This window comes from Homo sapiens, chromosome 2, assembly GCF_000001405.40.
Source record: "Homo sapiens chromosome 2, GRCh38.p14 Primary Assembly".
In the NCBI taxonomy this organism is placed as follows: Eukaryota; Metazoa; Chordata; class Mammalia; order Primates; family Hominidae; genus Homo; species Homo sapiens.
The window spans coordinates 24,613,017-24,634,876 of NC_000002.12; the positions used below are offsets into that span (position 1 = coordinate 24,613,017).

Genomic DNA, 21,860 nt, shown 5'->3' on the forward strand with positions numbered 1-21,860 from the left:
TTGATTTTTGTAATTATTTTCATGCAGGTAGGATTTTTTTCTTTTTTTGTTCCTGTCCCTGTAATATTTTTTTTTTCTTTCCCTTTCCATTCCCCAACTCCCTAGGGGATATGATTGTAGAGAATGCTGGGTAGCATCTTTTGGCTTTGCTTCTATAGCCTATGTACTTCTTTGGGCAGATTTTATATTGGGCTGTAGGGTTCAACCTACAAGCCAGTAGATGGCGCTTACGGGTAAGATCACTTAGCCAGCTGTAGCCAGTGTGACTAGGTATACACTTGATACTTGTTTACAGGAAGAAGCTCTCTGTTGCCTCAGGCATTGGGCTGATACGTGGAGTGCACAGTGGTCTGAGCTACTTGCTCAGCCCCAGGGGAGTGGGAAGCAAGATGAGTGGGGCCAGGCCACCTACAGTCCCCTGATGGCAGGCACAATCACTAACACTGAGGGAGAAGCCAATGGGCAGCCACCAAGCACCCAGAGGTGGTCCTAGGCATGGAGCTGGCAAACCTCCTTGGCCCCAAGTTCTCTACACAGGCAGGGGTGGAGGCCTGAACTCTTAATCCAGGAGAGTGGGTACTCCAGGTACCTGGAGATCTGCCTGGGTGCTGCGTACAGAGGGCCCTGCTGTACCACAATCTCTACACAGGAAGGATGGGGTGTCTCAGGCTAGCAATCCATGCAAATGGGTCCTCTGACTGCCTGAAGCTATGCCCGGGAATGGGGCAGAGAGTGCCCTGCTTTACCATGGTCTTGGCATGGGGAGAGTGGGCTGGCTTAGCCTGCTGATCCCGGTGAATGGGTGCTCCAGTTACCTGGAGATCTGCCTGGGTGTGAAGCAGAGAAGGTCCTGCTGCACCCCGACTTTTGAGTTTTAGGAGTATTCACATAGCATAGATGATTCAGGCACCAAATCCTCATGATGTCTTTGCTAAGGCCAAGAGGTTTTCTTTGATGTTTGCCTTTGAAGGTGTTTTTAATGTTTGAATTTACCCTTTTCCTGGTGTTATTGTCCTTCTTGGGCCCTGTCTTTGTCTGATAGTGTCTTACCTGACTTTCAGAGGCCTAAACTTTTTTCTCAATCCTTTCCAACCCTAGGTTACTAGGATTCATATATGCCCCAGGAGTATCTGGAAGCTTTATTACTTGCTTTTCTGCCTATTGTATCGATTCATTTCCATTCTTTTTTTTTTTTTTTTTTTTTTTTTTTTTTTTGCTATGGGGTTTCATTCTGTTATCCAGGCTGGAGTACAGTGGTGTGATCACAGCTGACTGCATGCAGCCTCAACCACCTGGGGTCAGGGGATCCTCCCACCTCAACCTCCTGTGTAGCTGGGACTATAGGTATACACCACCACACCTGGCTACTTTTTTGTTTTTGTTTTGTTTTGTTTGGAGAGACAGGGTTTTGTCATGTTGTTCAGGCTACTCTTGAACTCCTGGGCTCAAGTGATCTGCCTGCCTCGGCCTTGCAAAGTGCTGGGATTACAGGTATGAGTCATTGCACCTAGCCCATTTTCATTCTTTATATCAGACGTTTAAAATAGAAATGTTTTAAGATCTCTAGCCCAGCATATTCTCATATCTCAGGCAGTGGGAATCCTCTTGGAAAATTTTCAAAAGAATAGTTTCTAAAGCCCAACCACACCTACATGTCAGAATCTCTAGGGTGCAGGGCCTGTGGGTATGTTTAAAAGCCTCCTAGATAATTCTGATGCACTGCAAGTCTGAGAACCACTGACATAGAAAAAGTTATTTCTTCATGTAAACTTAGATAATTAAATAATAACAGCTAGTGTTTATTGAAAATAAGGTAACATATATTGTAAGCATGCACTAATTCTAGCTGTTAGTATTAATATTGTTATATGCTAGGCTCCATTCTAAGTCCTTCACATATCTTGTCATTTATTATTCACAAGAATCCTATAGCTACCACTTGTATTCCCATTTTAGAGATTAGCAAATCAAAGCACAGAGAAATTGAATTATTCAAGTTTATATAGCTAGTGGGTAGCAGAATTGTTATTTGAATCCAAGTAGTCATTCTGATTCCAGAGCATGTAATCTTAACCTACCATCTTTACAGTCTTCCAGGTGATTCACAGAGTTAATTTTATTGATTCCCAAAGGGTTTGTGACATTACAGAATATAGCAAGAAAAATATATTTGGATAAATTATGTATTTATGTTGATTTTGTGTAGGTATTGAGGAAGCAGAATAACACAGTAGAAATGGCCTCAGTTTACAGTCAGATAGACTTAGGCATGAATCTCTGCTCAACTGCTTGTTACTAGTAGCTATGAGAAAGTAAATTATCACAGACCTCTTATTATTTTGTTGGTAAAGGAGGATAACTATTTTTACTTCATGGGGTTTTTGAAGAAATAACATAAAATAGAACCTGTAATATATTGCTTGGCACACAGTAGATGGTTAGTATCAGAACTTAAGGAATCCTCTAAGAAGTTATGTTGGCTTCTCTGCAGGAGATTGTAGTAAGCCTTAGTCTAGGACGTTGTTGATGGAATAGCTGATGGGTACTGGTCGATGGTGCTGGTGGGGGCCAATGCTGACTGTCAATGTTGAGAATCTAACAAGTGCCAAGCATTGTCCTAGGCTCTGGAGATAAAACGGTGAGTGAGACATAGTCTCACTGCTTTCAAGAAGCTTGCAGTTAACTTATCTATATAATCAGATAGATACATACACAGTTACTTTTTTTGTTAGATGCTAGGACACATAGGAGGGTTACTCAGCCAAACCATTGCAGATGAGGAATGGCTTTCTAGAGGGAAGAGGATGAGAATGTGAGGGATTAGAGTAGTAAGTCCAGATAGGAGGAAAAGTAAAGGCTGGCTGAAATTTGTCATTACTACAAAGGTGTTCCATTCATCCAACATTTATGAAAAGATCAGGGATCTTAGGAAACTTTTATAAGGACAGTGTTAGAATATTAAGAGCCTACTTTTAGGTTCAGTTTTTACTAAAGCAGACAATTTTTCAAAGTAAAATAAAAATGGCACTCTTTATATGTAATACTGAATTTTCTATCAAATAGCACTTTTTGGAGTCTACATGCTTGTTACTTGGTAGCATTGTCACATTAGGTTATACATTAGAGGAAGAGAGAAGAGAAACAAAGGAATAGTAACCTTCAGAGGATGGAAATGATGATTTGTATGTGGGGTGAATTTCATCATGAGTTGTGTCTGCTATTTGCACATTTCCCTTTTCCTACCATCCTTTTTCACAGATGATGAAAAATAATTTGTTACATAGTTACCATAGTACATAGTTTTAATTTGATACCGTTTGTTGCTCTTGTATGGATTTGATAGTTGAGATTTCTTTCCATCTTTCTCCAATGTTCCCAATAAAATAGCATATTAAAAATGCAAGAGAAATACCATTTCTTTTGGCAAAACTGGGAAAAGTGAAAGGGAATGAATAAAGAATTTCTTGGAAGGGGAGGAATGTGAGTCTAGGGGAAGGAAGATGATGTTGTAATGGATAAAATGATATCGGGGATTATAGGAAAATAAATGAAGTTGGTCTTTAAAAATACCCCCAAAACAGAGGCAGCAGTTCTGCATGTTTTGGTAACCTGATGAGTGTGACTTGATATAAGAGTACACTTTTGATCTCCTACTTGCATATCTGTATGACACCTACCTAGAAGTACTGTAGTTTTTTATATGTACTGTAGTCCTGCTCAGGACATGAGCAGTCCCTGACTAGAACTGAGGAAAGTAGAGCAGTTAGTGTGGGTATTTGGAAACATTGGAAAACAGTTGTTAGGGGACTTAAGCTCTTAATCCCTGAGGATTTAGCAGAGGCTAGAAAGAGGAAGGGAAAAATGAAATCCAGTCTGTAAAAAATTGATTCTGAAAGCGATACTTTGGAAAGTTTATAAAATGAGGTCGAAATTGTGAACATAGACATGTTTACTGTGATGACAAATCTTAGTATACTAGGAGTAGCCAAAACCTTGGATGGAGAGATACAGTTTTAGACACCACCCCTCAAAAAGAGACTTTATAATACTGTCCTACAAACTTACCATCAAATACTTGTTTGCATCTTTATGGTATGAAGTTGGGGAGGATGGTAGAAATGTTGAACATAAAAGCATGTTGCTCCAATGACTGTGGTGTTGTTGGGGTATGTTGAATTTCAGGGCCCTTTGAGAGAAGAGTATTCATGCCTAATTGGGGTTTAAATTTTAGCAGACTCTTCATTACCTTTGGGCACTTTTTTCTAAGAGTTTGTTGTGATTGTTTTGGCAGGTACAAAAATCCTTCTCGAAACTGAACGTTATGATCTCTCCACCTCAACTTCTGCTGGTTTTCCTTTTACCTCTATCCATTTTCTCTCTTTTTTACTTGTTCTTCCAGCTGTAACAGTGTCCCTCTTGAAATATTGCAGTGCTTCCATAGTAATCCATTCTCTTCTCTTTCTGCACACGTTCTGTTGGTCATCTCATACACTCCACTATCATTAATGTGTTAGTGATTCCAGAATCCTTTATATTCCACTTCTTTGAAAGTCATCTGAACATATCTTCTTGGGTGTCCTGTTGCCACCTCATGATTAATGTGTACGTAACTGAGTTAATCAGCCTCTCCCTCAGACATCTGTTATCTCCCATAAACTCAGGCTTGGCTAAATGGCATTAATGAGTCCCTCATGCCAGGAACCTTGGTGTTCATAGGAGCTTATTCAGAGAATATAAACAAAGTTTTAGCCAGAAGATGCCTCATCACAGTACCTGTATTTTATTTAATACCAAAAAACAAAAAATTGGAGCCAATCTGAAGTCATAATCACTGCATTTCTTAAAAACTGTGATATACACACACACGCACACACGCAGAAATATTTTACAGACAGTAAAATCTCTGTGGAATATTTAATGACATGAGAAGGAACATATGTAAACTTAGTGAAAAAAGATGCTCTTAAGCAATATATTCATTATAATTCCATAATTATTAAAATAAAACTATATAGAGATATTTATAGAAAGAATGCATATGCAGATATTCACTTTAATTCTAGATAGTACAGCTATGGGTGATTTTAATTTTATTTTTATTTACCTGTATTTTCCAAAGTTGTGTAGTAAAAATGAATTACTTTTGTAATTCACACATGCAGACAATTTGGCCTCCCTTTTTCACTCCCAACACTTGTTGAATTAGTTTAATAATGTCTTCTTCACTCCAACTATTGCTGCTTAGTTCAACTACTCATTATATCTGGATAAGACACGGCAGCCTCTTGACTTTGCTGCTCAGCTGCCAAGCTCCCTTCCTGAAAATCCTTACTGATGCAGTTCTTCACTTGCTTCACTGTTCCATTTAAGTGGCTATATATTAAATCTCAAAAACCATCAAGAACAGAGGAAATTGTGAATGTTATTCCTTGTAACTAGTTTACCATCTGGTCTGAAGACCTTCAGCCAATGGAATTCAGCCAACTCAAGATTTAATTTAATATATTCACCTAACCTTAACCAAGTGACTTTTAACCAGAGCATGGATAGTTATGCAGATTTGGGGTGAGGAGAGGTGAAGGAAGGAAGGGTGGGAGAGAAAATATGATTTGAACTCAGGCCTTCACAAATCTGTGCTCATTCCTTCTGTTCTACCTCTACAAACTGCCATACCTTGCCCTTGCTGGGTGTATGTTCCCCCCTCCTGTATTCAATAAACAGTTCATTGGTTTTTTTTTTGAGCATTTAGCCAGTAAGAACAAATAGGCAAATAATGAAAATCCATCCATTTTAGTGCCAGTTATTCTATCAGCAGATCCTATTAGAAGTATTTATTGAGGCATGTCATGCTAATAGTCCCAAAGTGTAATTATACTTGCAGATTTTTCTTGCTTTCAGAGAGTTTGTAATATGTTCCAGATGGTTAAATAGGAAAGAGGAGACAATTTATACTGTCTTTTCACTTATGATTAAAAATTTGATGTTACTTACTACTTATGTTACCATTATTGCTTTGTTGGATTTTTACGTGAGAGGAATTTAAACAAAATGTGTGATTTTTAAAACTCTTCTGCTATAGTCAACAATTAACAGGACGTTTCATAGTTTCTTTCACCTTGTTAGTTGTTTAATTGCTTCTATTTAGGCATCATTAAAATGATATAATTGTGTCATAAGTAGTAATTCTTTTATGAATGTAACCTTTATTCTTGGAAAGTATTCACTTGGGTTTGTTTTAGACTTAAAATTAAATGGTGAACCTTCTTGTGAAAGCTTACATGAAACTGAAAAAGAATAATTTTCCAAACTGTTGAAGATTCTTTGACCTTTTCCCACAAAGTATTAATAATATGGCCTTAGATTCAAAATTAGTGAATCTACTACCAATAGTAGGAGTGATCATTTCTCATTGATTCATTCATACTCTCTCAACTACCCTTATCTGACTAACGAACTACTTCTTTTGAAAGGCAGCTTACCAAACATTGGGAATATAGCCTGTGAACTCAGTTTAGAACAGTTAATGGATCAAAGGGGTCCAGACCCAGAGCCTTGACTTCATTATGACCTTGAGTTAACCAATAAACTGACTGGTTGGTTAACTTGGAGAAATATGTTGTTTTTCAGTAAGAGATAGAATACTTATGGTGTAATTATTTGGTCGGGGCAGGGGGACAGATTGGTTTTGATCCTTAGACTACCATTCTCTGTCCTTGAAGTTCTCTTCCAGACTTCTTACAAACAAGAAAACAAGCAAAACATTTTAAAAATAATTATAGTTATATAATTACAAAGATAATTATAAAATTATATTTTTGGTGATAAATAATAGAGATTATTCCTAAAGGGTTTTTTGGGGGTATAAAAGGAGTAGTTTGATCCAGCAAGATTTACTTCCTATAAATTGCCTTTAAGTATCTTTGTTCTTTCTCAGATTTTCTTGTTCTTCTTTAACTGGCCACATCCTACCTCTTCCTGACCTTCTCTCCCCAAAACAGCCTACCCTCTCAGTCTTTTCAGACTCCTCAGTCGTTCCTCATACTTACTGTACAGAATTCTTTCCAGTTTTTCTGGGTAAAATTCTTATCCTTTCTACAAAATTTAAATTCCTTCTCAGCAAGTTCAAAGCCCAAACTAAGACTAAGAAAAGCATGCCTTTGGGGAGACTCAGTTCATCTTGCAATAATAAACTGGCAATAATTTCAGATTTCTATTTTCATTACTATTGCCAAACTTTGTATAATTTGGTTTGTTCAGCTTTTACAGCAAACCTCATGTTCAGATTGTTATTAACTATTCAATATTGGCTGGGCGTGCTGGCTCACGCCTGTAATCCCAACACTTTGGGAGGCCGAGGTGGACGGATCACCTGAGGTCAGGAGTTTGAGACCAGCCTGACCAACATAGAGAAACCCCGTCTCTACTAAAAATACAAAAATTAGCCGGGTGTGGTGGTGCATGCCTGTAATCCCAGCTACTTGGGAAGGCTGAGGCAGGAGAATTTCTTGCTTGAACCTGGGAGGCGGAGGTTTTGGTGAGCTGAGATCACGCCATTGTACTCCAGCTTGGGCAGCAAGAGCGAAACTGGTCTCAAAAACAAAACAAAACTATTCAATATTATGAGTCTTTCTGGGAATATGCAAAATAATATAGACAAATTTAATTCTTATTTTTGTTGTATGTTTTTAAAGTGTTTTGTATGTTCACTGGCTCACATGTATAAAAATTTGATTTTATACAAATGTGTTAAGATGGGATTAATTTTTTAAAGAATGATTCACAGAATTTCATTGAATGGAATATTGTAGCTTATATATAAAGAATGTAATTTGATTTATAAAAATTTAGGATATGCAGGACCTTTCTATGCTACTTAAGTAAGAATTGCATATGTGTGACAAAATTTAAGCTAATTAGGGTAAGTATCTTTCTGTGTTAGTGGTAAGAGATAATAACAGGATATTTGAAAAGAAATGCTACTTTGAATTCATGATACCATGTTTCTTCTTGTTAACTAAGCTAGAAATTTTTCCTTATTCCTTCTTTGGAGTATCCCAGCCCTCTTATCTACCCTGCTTTCGTCATGGGAAGAGTTGTTACTGTGATTCTCATAATCTTGTGTGGTATGTGGGGGGTGGGGAGGAGTTCCCTTATTCACCTGGCCCCTTTCCTGGAATATGGCATGTGAAATGCCTTGTCTTGTTGTGAAACATTTAGAAAATTACAGTAACGGCACTTCAGTCCTCATCTTTCCTGAGGCTTCCTTTGTCCCCTTATTATATATCTGGTATATTTAAAATCTCTTGTTTTTTTGTTTTCCGTTTGAATACTTGAACCACTTCAGTGTCTAATTGAACATTGTTATTGTCTAGAAATTCAGATTTCATTTTTTGTGTTATGTGTGTATTCAGGCAGATTTTTTTTTTTTTTTTTTTTTTTTTTTTTTTTTGAGACAGAGTTTCCGTCTCAAGGCTGCAGTTTCACTCCGTCTCAAGGCTGGAGTGCAATGGTGCGATCTCAGCTCACTGCAACCTCCACCTCCTGGGTTCCCTCCTGGGTTCAAGTGATTCTTCTGCCTCAGCCTCCTGAGTAGCTGGGATTACAGGCACCTGCCACCATGCCCGGCTAATTTTTTGTATTTTTAGTAGAGGCAGGGTTTCACCATGTTGGCCAGGCTGGTCTCAAACTCCAGACCTCGGGTGATCCATCCTCTTCGGCTTCCCAAAGTGCTGGGATTACAGGCATGCGCCACCACGCCCAGCCTTTCAGGCAGCTTTCTAAGCAGCGCTCATGAATTTGAATCCCTGTAGGTCTAATTTGTACCTAATCTCTGTCTTTCTGTATCCTAGGAAGCTTTGTTAGGAATTGATACATGCCTTTGTCTCATTTCCCCAAACCTAATGTTTGACCGTATACTGTTAGCTGACTGTCAGGTTCTGTTCACAGAGTGACACCTCTAGTCCCCGCATGTTTTGACATGTTAACTGTGTGAGAGGAAAATGCTCAGACACTCCTGAGAAATCAGGCTGCATCCACTTACATATCCAGCAAAATAGATGATGAACATAGGAGAAGGAGAACCATACAGCAGTTTGGTTTAATGCACACTGACCTCCAGTATAGCCAGTTAGTATACAGGAATTTGACCTAAATAAGAACTGTTGTTTTTTTTCCCTTCTGAGGAGAAGCATTTGTAGCCACAATGGTAAAAAATAATTTATCCTCATATACCACTGTTTCTCAACAACAGCACTGTTGACTTTGGGGTCAGATAATTCTTTGTTGTGGGGACTGTACTTATGCATTGTAAGATGTTCAGCAGCATCTGATATCTACCTAGTAGACATCTGTAGCACTCTCCACCCTGAGCTGTGATAACCAAAAATGCCTCCAAACATTACCAGTGTTTCCTGGGAGGTAATACAGCCCCAGTTAATAACTACTGCCCTATACTTATGATTATGTCTTTGTACTTTTGATTATATGGTGAAGACAAATTCTTAGAAGATAGATTGTGCATTGTAATTATTTTGGTAACTCCAGAAGGATATACCAATTTCTATTCCAAAAACAATATAAGACATTGTATATTTCCCTAGACCCTTACCAGTGCTGGATTTTGTCAGTTTTTTTAGTCTTTTGCCATTTTGATAGATGAGTAATTACATTGCCATAATTTTAATTCAAACAGTTATTAAGAAGGTTGGGTATATCAGAATTTTTATTGCCCATATGCAGATCATCTTTTGTGCATTGCTTGCTTTTGTTCTTGGCTCATTTTTCTGGGGGTATTAATTTGGTCATTTATGGTTTCTCCTAGTAGGTTGAATTTATTGAGGTGTCACATAAAAGATACTCAATAGATTTTTAAGTTGAATGTAGAAGAACATTGGTACTTCTCTAAGGAAAGAGAGTATGTATGTGTTGCATGTGTTTGTGTATGACCATGTGGACACATGTACATATGTTCATGTGTATATATATTCATGGGGACAGAAGAGCAGAGGGCTAAAGACTTGAGCTGTGTGTCCACATTTACCAGGCATTACAAGGATATTGAGAAGAAGCGGAGGACAACCAGTATACTTTTCTTGGAATATGTCTGAAAGGTCAAAGAGAAAAGTGACTAATTTGCTAGGAAGTTCACCTCAAACCTCCCTAGCCAAATTCTGTAAGGTCAAACAAGTGATGAATATTCAAAGGACTAAAAGAAGTTAGAGGTGGAAACTCAGAAAAGTGATATAGTAAGAGTATGAGAATGGGAGGCTTAAATTTCATAGCATTGTCTAAGTAATGTGGTATTTGGGAGAGCTAAGTATAGATTGGTGAGACAGCCCAGCTTATATGGATTACCTATGGAATTTTTTTACTTTCTCATTTTTATCAGGGAATTTATCTTCTTCACTGTTCTTGGATATCATCTAATTTTCTTTTTCTGGGCTCCAGATCTCTGTCTTTGTCTTTGAAAGGGTCTTTGCCCTCTTCCTTCAGAGCACATAAAAAGATAATAAGAAATATGTATCTAGGGCAAAAGTTCTCATCATATGGTCTGCACACCCCTCGGAGGGTCTGTATTAGGCTGCTTGGACTGCCATAGCAGAATACCACAGACTGGGTGGTTTAAACAACAGAAATTTATTTTCTCACAGTTCCGGAAACTGAAAGACCAAGATCAAGATACCGTCAGGGTTGGTTTCTGGTGAGGCCTCTCTGTATTTGGCCGCCATCTTCCTGTGTCCTCACATTACCTTTCCTCTGTGCCTGTGCACTCCTGGTGTCTCTTCCTCCTCCTATAAGGACACCAGTCTTATTGGACTGGGGCTCCACCCTTAGGACTTCATTTAACCTTAGTTACCTCCTTACTAGCCCTGTCTCCAAGTACAGTCACACTGGGGGTTAGAACTTCACATATAAACTTGAGAAGGGGACACAATTCAGTCTATAACAGAGCCCCTAAGACCTTTTCATGGAGTCCACAACATCAAAATTGTTTTATTAATAATATTAAGGTGTTGTGTTCCTTTTCTGTTGTCTAGACATTCTCACCAATAGTGCAAAAGTAATGGAGGGTAAAATTGGTGCCTTCTCATAAACCGAGGCTATAGTACCCAATTGTATTCTTGGTTATTTTCTTTGTTACTCCATAATTGCAGTAAAGAAAAAAAATGGGTTATTAAAGGGCTATTCTCAGTTTTAACTGACAATACAATAAATATTGGTAACTCATATTAATTAAACCTCTTTGGGTCCTTGATAATTTTTAAAAGTATAAAGGGATCCTTAAACCAAAAGAATTTAAGAACTGATGATCTATGGGAAAGAAGGGGCTATTAATCAAGTAAATTTTTCTATTTTCTGTTCTTGATTCATAAGGCAAATAGTTCTGTCATAATCAGAGAAAATAAGCTTTTATTTTTAGAAAGTAGACAGATTACATTTCTGTATTTAATAAGAACAAAAAGTTTTCAATGTATGCATATTCAATTTTCAATAGATTCTCTGCCCCTGTTCTCCCTGCCTACCAACCCTGCTTCCCCCACCAGCTTTGGTCCTTGCTTCTGGTGAGAAGAGTCAAGGGAGTTTTCTTAACTCTGGTCCATTTACTTGTTCAAATGCTACTGAGTGTTTTGTTGATGAATGGCAGATACAATTCCTTTCTTAGGGAAGTTGCTGCTAAATGATGAAACAATATATACATATGCAAGATATTACTCTACGTATCAATATAGAATATTTTGAACAGAATATTTTCCAGGAAGTAAAAATAACAGTTCTTATAAGTGGATTTTGAGCTGACTCTTGGGGTGGATGCATGAATTGACAGAGAGAGGAGAGGAGGAGGAGAAAGAGTATGTGTAGAGAAGGGTTTGACAAACTTTTACTGTAAAGGACCAGATAGTAAATGCTGTAGGCATTGCCAACCATACGGGAGCTACTGGACTCAGCTGGTGTAGTGTGAAAGCAGCCATAGACAGTAAGTCATAAACAAATGAGTGTGAGTGTATTCCAACAAAACTTTGTTTATGGACAGTGAAATTGAGTTTTATATAATTTTCTTGTCTCACGGTAAGAAACAAATGAGTGTGACTATTCCAACAAAACTTTTTTATGGACATTGAAATTGAATTTCATGTAATTTTGTTGTGTCATGAAATATTATGCTTCCTGTGTTTTTTTTCAACCATTTAAATATGTAAAAACTGGCCAGATGTGGTGGTATACACCTGTAATCCCTGCTACTCAGGAGGCTGAGGCACGAGAATTGCTTGAACCCAGGAGGTGGGAGTAGCAGTGAGCCGAGATTGCACACTGTACTCCAGCCTGGGTGACACAGCGAGACTCTGCCTCAAAAAAAAAAAAAAAAAAAAAGTTGAAGGAAAGGTGAGAATGTGTTCATGGCCACATGAACTGGGGATTTAAAAATTTTGTTGATCTTTTCAAGGAACTAACTTTTGCTTTGTTAATTTTTTCTACTGTTTTATTTCTTTCACTGATTTCTGCATTTAGATTATCTTCTTTCTTTTACTTCCTTTGGGTTTACTTTGCTCTTTTCTTCCTAGCTTCTTAAGATAGAACCTTGAAATCTATTTCCCCCAAAGGAGACATTTAAAGCTATAAAATCTTCTCCCTCCCCTCTAAACACTGCCTTCTCTGTGCTCTCCAGATGTTTGTATGTATTTTTATTTGTACTTTTCATTACATTCCATTTGAAATAATTCAGTGTTTTCTGTTTTGTTTTTTTTTTTTCCTCCATGGATTATTTAGAAGTGTGTTGGTTTTAAATATTTGAAGTTTTGGAGTTTTTCTAAATGTCTTACTGTTACTGGTTTTTAATTTATTTCAGTTGTGTTCAAACAGCACACTCTGAGAAGTTTAATCCTTTTAAATTTATTTCGACTTATCAGCATAAATCATATCAGTCTTGGTGAAATTACATGTACTCAAAAACAATGTATTCTATAGTTGTTGGATATAGTGTTCTAAAAATGTCACTTAGGTTGAGGTGGCTGATCAGATCTACCATGTCTTTATTGATTTTTGTTTTAGAGGGGTCTGGTTCTTCTATCAAATGGTGAGAGAGGGGCATTAAAATCTTCAGCTGTAGCAGTGTGTATGTTTTTCTCTATTTAATTTAGTCACTTTCCTCATGTATATTTAAGCTCTGTCATTGCTGGCTGTGATAATGGGAGACCTTGAATGCAAGGTAGCAAGTGTGAATTCTTTATGGAAAGGCACTGTTGAGTGGTGACTAGGGGTGTGACATTGTGACATGAGATGTGGGGACTTGTTCAGCAGGATATACTGCATAGGCAGACCAGGGATAGGAGTTAGACGTGCTGCTAAAGTGCTTCAGACTTGGATTGCTAACAGTATGGAGTATAATGATGATTTGAAAATAATGAACGTGATGCTGTTCTGATAAACACTGGAGAGAGAAAATTAGCAGGAGATTTCAATGGATTGAATATAGGAAAAGCAAGGCAAGCTGACTGAAGCAGTTCTAAGAACCGAGAGAGCTGGGAAAGTGGTAGTATGGTTGCTGGTGATAGCAGTGTATTTAATAGTGACTTTAAGTGGTAGAGATGAGGATTTTCTTTTTGACCTAATAAATTTTGGATGTTACCTGGATATCTAAATATGGCATCATTTTGTTAATAGTGAGAAGTTCAAGATTGGTAAAGGAGGATAAGAATTTCTACTGGGTTTTCATTGCATGCATACTATGAAATCATTGATTTCTGAATAATTGTGGGATTAAGATTTTATATGTGGTCTTAGCTCAGATATTCCCCTAATATATAAACTCTTCTTAATCACTATTCTAAAGTATCTCTCCTAGTCACTCTCTACTTCATTATTCTGTTTTCTTTTCTCCTATTAGAATGTAAGCTAAAGGAGAGTTCAACTCTGTATCCCTAGCACTTGGTACAATGCCTATCACATATTAGGCTTTTAAATATTTGAGAATTGAATGACTGCCTGTTAGAAAGAGAAAATATGTATACTGAGGTATACTGAGTAAAAGAAATAAAAAGCAAATGTTTTATAATTTGATTTTAAAATTCCTTACTAATGTTTAATACCTGTTTTTTTGTTTTTTGCTGTTTTTTTTTTTTTTTTTTTTTTAAGTTAAGGCTAGGTCTCTGTTTGTCATTCCTCACCCCCTACCCCCACTACTGTGCATGTCACCATATGGAAAGTGATGGTTACATGTGATATAAATTAGCACACTTTGTTATATAATTAAACTTTGCATCCCCCAAAAATGGAATTACTTATTAAAATCTCTAAGTACAGATGCTGGTCACTACTCTACTTTAAAAGGTAATATGTAATTTAGAAATATGATAAAAATAAATCTAAATACTTGGAAACAAATAGTTTTACTGTTAACTTTAGTAGCTGTTCTTTGCTATCCTTAAGGGGTACGAAGAACTGGTAAGACTGTCGTTGTCAGTTAGCAGTGTGGTAGAGTAGATAGAACCTGCACATAGAAAAAATTAGTAATGCAAACAGTTATCTGATAAAATCTATGCCAGTTTTAACTATCACCTAAAGAGATTTAATATTTACTTTTTCTTGGGCCTTAGTAGAATGCCATCTTCTAACACATATAAAACCTATATTGGAAATTAAAATCCTATCTGAGTATCCTGCCATAATGTTTTGGAGATTTAGAACAACTTGGTTTTGATGGTCCTCAGTAGAAGCTTTTTGATTAAGTAGAGTTGTTCTTTAGGAAAGAACTAAACACTTGCAGTTTAGGTGTTAGGTTTAATTTTTAGGTTTTTGAGTGTGGATTTTCTCTGACATCTTGTTTTCTCTTGCCTTGTGGCAAATACAGAGAGAAATTGTATTGCAGAATGATGATACAAAAATGCTCTTCCTCCAAGTAATAGAGGCTAATCTAGCAGTTTTACTAATTGTGTTTTAGTTTTTCTTCCTCCCTCTGTTCTCACCTTCAAATCTGTGCCTAATTCCTTATATTAATAATCTGGGAGGCCGGGCGCGGTGGCTCACGCCTGTAATCCCAGCACTTTGGGAGGCTGAGGCGGGTGGAGGACCTGAGGTCAGGAGTTTGAGACCAGCTTGGCCAACATGTTGAAACCCCGTCTCTACTAAAAATACAAAAATTAGCTGGGTGTGGTGGCGGACGCCTGTAACTCCAGCTACTTGGGACGCTGAGGCAGGAGAATTGCTTGAACCTGGGAGGCAGAGGTTGCAGTGAGCCAAGATTGTGCCATTGCACTCCAGTCTGGGTGACAAAAGCGAAACTCCATCTCAGAAAAAAAAAAAAAAAATCTGTTATGTACCCCACCTCGTGCCATTATTCTGAAGCTCATGGGTTTGTATAGAAAAATGTGTAATGTTCTTTGACCAGTTTAATGATCAGAGCTTATTCTCTTTGAGCTTTTAACTATATTAGGATTGTTGAATTAGAGCAGGTTCATTAATTGCATATATTAATTTTTTTTAATGTTGTGTATCTACTCTGCTCCAGATTAAAAATACCTACACGGAGCTTACAGTTGAGTGAGAGAGATACACAATAAACACATAATCACACAACAAATATGTAAATAAAATAGTGGAAAATATGCTGTGAAGAAAACGTAGAAAATGCTATGAAAGTACAGTGGAGGCTGATTTAGATTACTGGGTTAAGAGAAGTAGAATTTTAGCTGAAGTTTGAACAATGAATAGGAATTGGATAGATGAAGAAGGTATGAGGGATTATTCACAGCAGATAACATATTGTAGGGAAGGCCTTAGAGTAAGGAAGAAAGATTGGGGAATAGGAGAAACTTTTAGGAAAGACCAGTGTGGTTAAAGCATAGTATGCTTTGGGGAGAGTGGCTATGCTGTGAGTTTTGGATTTTATCATAAGTGAGATAAAACCCTGTGGAAGGGGTGTGTAAGCAGGATTAGAATAGTGGATTTGTGTGTGTGCAGGGGAATAGATAAGGTGGGGCTTGGTGATTGAATAAATAAAGTGTGATAGTGTAAAAATTTAAAGGGTGGTGATATCTAGGTTTTGGGTAGCAGCAGTTGAATGGGTATAAAGGTACCTTTTTAAGGATGGGAAAAAGTAAAGGAGAAGGGAGGAATTTAGTTTGGAACTTAATAAATAGGCAAATGCATGCAGGCCCTTAGAATAGAGCATTAAAAAAATTAGCAACAGTCTTTTGAGAATAGTTTGTCTTCAAAATAGATGTGTTTATACTGCACCCAGAATTAGTAATATTGAAATATACTAGTCTATTTCAGTGCTTATCTGTTTAACATAAATATAATGGTGCGTGTAAGAGTCATGAATATTTTAGATTTAGTAGTTGATATACAGACTTGTAAACACACAGTTTATAAAAGTTTATAATCTGCCTTTTTTCAAAAGGAGCAGGAAGTAAAAATTAAGATATAACAAAATAACTCTGGGTTGACCTCTTACTGTACTGTTTGGGTTTTTTTTTTTTTTTTTTACACTTTATCATTAAACTTAGAATGTAAACATTTATATCTTCCTAGAAACAATGAGATTTAAAAACAAAAAAAGGTACCTAAAATCTCCTGAATATATGTTACTGAAACAGGAGGATATAATGAATAATTAAAGGAATGTGTGACATCCAAGTCAGGGAAAAACTAAGGGAAAACATGATGCCGCAATCATTTGTTAGAAAGGTGGCTGCCAAGTAGAAGACAAATTAAATTAAATTTAGTTGGCTGTAGTCTGGTTATTAATCAAACACTTTCATGTTGTTTATCATGTGCCAGACACTGTTTTAAGTAACATACATACATATATATATATATATATATATATATATATGTATTTTTTTTTTTGAGATGGAGTCTCGCTTTGTCGCCCACGCTGGAGTCCAGTGGCGTGATCTCGGCTCACTGCAAGCTCCGCCTCCTGGGTTCACACCATTCTCCTGCCTCAGCCTCCGGAGTAGCTGGGACTACAGGCATCTGCCATCACGCCCGGCTAATTGTTTTTGTATTTTTAGTAGAAACGGGGTTTCACTGTGTTAGCCAGGATGGTCTCGATCTCCTGACCTCGTGATCCGCCCGTCTCGGCCTCCCAAAGTGCTGAGATTACAGGCGCGAGCCACCGCGCCCGGCCGTAACTTATTAATGTTTACTCTCTGAACAATTCTTGACTAGGTACAAGTGTTATCCCACTTTTTGTAGATGAGGAAATGGAGGCATGGAAAGATTAAGGTCAAAAAGCTGTAAATGGAGTTGAACTCCAGAATCTATACTTTTAATCTTAATGCTATACTGTCTTGGTTATAAGAAGGGAATGTGGTTACCTGTAGGCAGATGTGGATAACTGAAGCTGTTAATTTATTTCACTGGTGTGAAGTTTTATTGTATCAATATACCAGATTCTATTATTGATGGGCATTTGAGCTGTTCCTATTTTTTGCTCTTATAAACATTGTTAGCATGAACTTTCTTCATATATCTTGTTGCACATATCCAAGAAACTTTCTCTGAGGCGGTGGTTCTCTTTATTACTGGTCCACTGGTGGAATTCTTGCCACTTACTAATGGTGCTCAGATATATTACTTGGAATTCTTGCTCTGGCCACAGAGCAACAGTTTTCATATCTTTCCAACATAATGCAGTTATGTCTTCTAACAGCACTCATGAATTCTTAGATTTTTTAAGTCACCTAAAAAATTATGTGAAGAAATGAGTTCTTTTCTGGAGAGAGACTGCAAGTTTTTCATAAAAGCATTTTGTAATCATAAAAACAATGAAATCACTTTTTTTAAAGTGAAAGATAAAAAAACAAGTAAATATTGCTATTCTATTAGAAAAAGCAAACAACTTTATTGTAAAGTCTATGGGAAAGTCAAATAAACTTTATACATGTATCGAATATTTTACAGCATTTTCAGTGTTTACAATGTTTTTAACATTAATATGGATGGTTTGATTTCAAATTTTTTAAAAATCTTTTTCATCTTCAGTTTGGAAAGCATGACTTGTGTCATCATTGATAAGAAAGTTGGTAATATTCTTTCTTCATTCTTTTATTAAAATCTTGCATTTTTTCACCCAAAATTTGATCTCTTAAAACCACCTTTTTCAGGCACCTTCTTTTTAAATTTTATTTGGGGTAAAATTAACAAGTATACATAAGCTACTGTGGAATTATAACTCCATGCTACCAAAATAATTTATAATTGCCATTAGTGTTAATGGTTTATTTATAATGACTCACTACTGGATGGCAGTACACCTAACCTAAACTATGAGTCCCAGAACACTGGGAATTTTGACTAGCTTTATTCTTTTCTCTCCCCATCAAAAAGTATATCCTAAAGAAGATAAGTTAAAGCCACGTTATAATAATCTTGAATCTTCTCCAATTTTAAATAAATAATATGTAAATCATTGGTATTTTAATTGTTTTTGATAACAAATTTTCATCACACCTCACAGTCAGTATACCGGGGTGAGAGAATTTACTGTCCTTTAGGCATGTAAATACTGTACTCTAGTTGGTAAGTTTGTTTTTTTACTTCCTTACAAGAGAGAACATTAAGCGATACTTAGATAAAATGGACTTAAGAACAGTGATAAAAAAGAGAGGGAACATTAAGCCACAATTTCTTTTGACAGTCATATCATAAGGCAATATTTGGTAATGGAAGATGGATTTTTTTTCCTGCTTTATAAAAGTCACAATCAATGGTGTCAGCTTGTGTGTACAGAGGGACGTTCTCTTGGTTGAAAGCTGGTTCTTTTTCACAAACCTTTCCAATGAACTGTTGCATAGGCCTTGCTGCCTATTGTTAACTCTATTTCTGTCATACAATTCTTTATGTTATTGAGTAATTTCTGTTGCTTACTGCTTCTCAATGTCAGGATAGTGGATTCTTAAATTCACGAAAAAATTAAGGTGATAATATATACATGAAGTAAAAATTTTTGAATAATTACAAAATAACAGGAAGATTGAAATAAATAAAATGTTAGAAATAATATATAGTATTTGGTTCCATGTAAAAGTGGTAGATTGAGCACTTAGTATTGTTCACTCTCAAAACAGCAGTTTAGTTAAACAACAACAAAAATAGGATAAATAAGGATTTTTTAAAAGTCATAAATCCAGGGAGACTAGGAGAATGGGAGGGAATATGACAAAATTTTTGAAGGGGTAGAACAGCTAGAATAGTAGTAGCAATCTCACTAAACTTGAGAAAGCCAGTTTTAAGGGAAGAAAGCTGATGACCAGTTGGACTGATACTGGTGAATCTTCAAAAGGCTCGGATAGTAGTAGTATGTAACTCTGGAAGTTAAGAAGGGAAGTGAACTAAAATGAGGAAGATGGTTTCAAAGCTATTTAAAAAGCCACTAGATGCACTGATATCCTTCTTCACTCTCTGTCACTGTGCTTATGCACTTCTCCCATCCTGACAAGTGGGAGGCTTGAGGTCCATCTTATAGGTTAAAACAGAGGGTCTCTTGGCTAGTGGACACCAGTCACATTGAAGGTGGAGAGGAATTAAGTGAGTACTGACATTTCCAATGCTCAGAACCCCTGGCCCCCTTCTCCATTATTGGCTCCCAAATTGAAAACTAGGCCCTTTAGCATCCAGGCAGGAAATAGGAGGAATCTTTTTGGGAATCCCACCAACTCAAGGAGAAAAACCTAAAGACAAAAAGAACTATACATAAATACTGTACTCCACTTGGTAAGTTTGTTTCTTATAGGGGTATAGGTTAACAGTGTAAACTACATTACCTGTATACAAGTGTTTGAAAAATAAGCTAAGCATTAGAAAAGGGGAGCCAGGTTTCTCACATAAATATTTATGCCCTCACAAAGAGCCTGGACAGATTGCCTTGTTGTAGGGAAGGTCATAATTGATAAGTCCCATGTATATAACTAGAACTTTCCATCAACTTTGTGTACCCAAACAACTAAATACCATTGGGCATCTGAGAAAGCTTCTAATATGAATAACAGAAACCAAAATAAGCAAATAGAGAAAAACTGGAGAAAATAGACTATGCCACCTAGAAAACTTGATGTATATGTATGCATGTACATACATATATACATATACACACGTACACATACAGCCATATATAGATACATATGCATACACACACACATATATATATACAAATACCCAGATATGTGCATGCAGAAAGACTGGATGCTGCACCCATAAAGCAAGAATGGGATATTTAAAAAAAAACATTCAGAGAACAAAAAAGAATTTTTACCAATTAAGAACATATAGTAGAAAAGAAAAACTCAAAGAAATATTGGACATTAAGTTGAGGAAAACTTTCTAGAAAGTAGAGCAAAAGGGCAAAGAAATAATAAACAGAAGATAAAGTAAATATACTAGTGCAGGAGGGCCAGCTCTGTATTATTAAACATTCCAAAAAAGGGAAAACAGAATAAATGAAAAGAAAGAAAAAATGAATAGTATATTTCAAGAAAATTTCTCATAATTGAAGGCGAAGTACTTATTGAGTGCTTGGCGTAATGGATGAAAAGAGACCAATACTCATTTAAAGAATAGGAAATATAAAAAGCAAACTTAGATGCCTAGGCTCCATAATATTCAGGGAAATACAAATTGAAATGAGATACTATTTTTCATCCATTTGATAGGGTAAATTAATTATATCAATAGCATTGGGAAGGATATGGGGAAAATGGCTGTCTCAAACTACACACTCTGGGGGAAGTCTGAAACAATTATTTTGGTAAACAGTTTGCCAGATGGCAAGTGGAGTTGGACATATGCAAATATTACAATCTAGAAATTCTACTTTTGGATATTGCCATTAGAAATTCTTCTACTTATGCATATGAAGATCTGGACAAGATGCTATGTATAAGAACATTCACTGAGCCATTATTTGTAATAATGAAAATGTATGGACAACCTAAATACAAAAATGGCTAAGATGTGGTATATTCACATACACATATGAACAGAACACATGCACACTTCAACATGGATAGAACTCCAAAAGATAATGTATGAAATCAGCAAAATGCAGAATATGTATGATATATATACATTTTAAACATATATTTCAAAACATAAAACGTTATATTGTTTATGGATATGTGTATGTCCTAAAATAATATAAAAAATTGACCAGAAGGTATGTACCAAATTCATAATAATGGTTACCTCTATCAAGGGGAGGGGGAAGGAACAGGGTAGGCTTGAGTATGGGGACTTTAGCTTTATCAGTGATGCTTCATTTCTTTAAAAAGAAAATAAATATATCACAATGTTACTGTTGTTAATTCTGAGTGATAGATCATAGGTATTTAGTTGTTGTGTTTTTCTTTATATCTTTAAATTCTGGCCCTTTGCCTAACTCCAAAATAACAAACAAGAATGTTTTCTAGATTTCCTTTTTACTCCTTCTATGTGTTAGGTACATTATAGGTACTCTTCTATCACCTTGCTTTCTCATCTGATTCTTAAATGGGAATTCAGGTACTGCATTAACCAGTACATACGCCAGAATCCAGCATCAGAAGTAGATAATGAAGACAGAAGGTCCTTTACCCATGAGAGACAATTTAAAACTAGGAATTGGAAGCTTCAGTCATGTCCAATAGCTGTGGGGGTTTATTAAGGGTTTGCTCCATCCATCTCAGGTCTCCTACCCTGGATTCCTAGGGGAGGAACCCCCCCCCCCCCCGCCCCCGGAGACAAGACCACACTCTTTCGCCTAGGCTGGATTGCAGTGGCACAATTATAGCTTGCAGCAGCCTTCAACCCCTGGGCCCAGGCAATCCTCCCGTTTCAGCCCCCCAACTGAGTAGCTGGGACTACAGGCACACACCACCTTGCCC

General features: G+C 36.7%; 1 protein-coding gene across 15 annotated transcripts in view, besides 1 other annotated feature; it reads left to right on the forward strand.

Moving 5' to 3' along the window:
* Positions 1-21,860, forward strand: part of NCOA1 (nuclear receptor coactivator 1) — a 279,449-nt gene that overhangs the window by 121,763 nt on the left and 135,826 nt on the right. The window lies entirely within an intron of this gene.
* Positions 330-379: an enhancer, noted in NCBI's record as "active region_15434". NCBI's record gives its function as "activates an Ori minimal core promoter by ATAC-STARR-seq in GM12878 lymphoblastoid cells {active_cell/tissue: GM12878}" and the evidence as "EXISTENCE:reporter gene assay evidence [ECO:0000049][PMID:35858748]".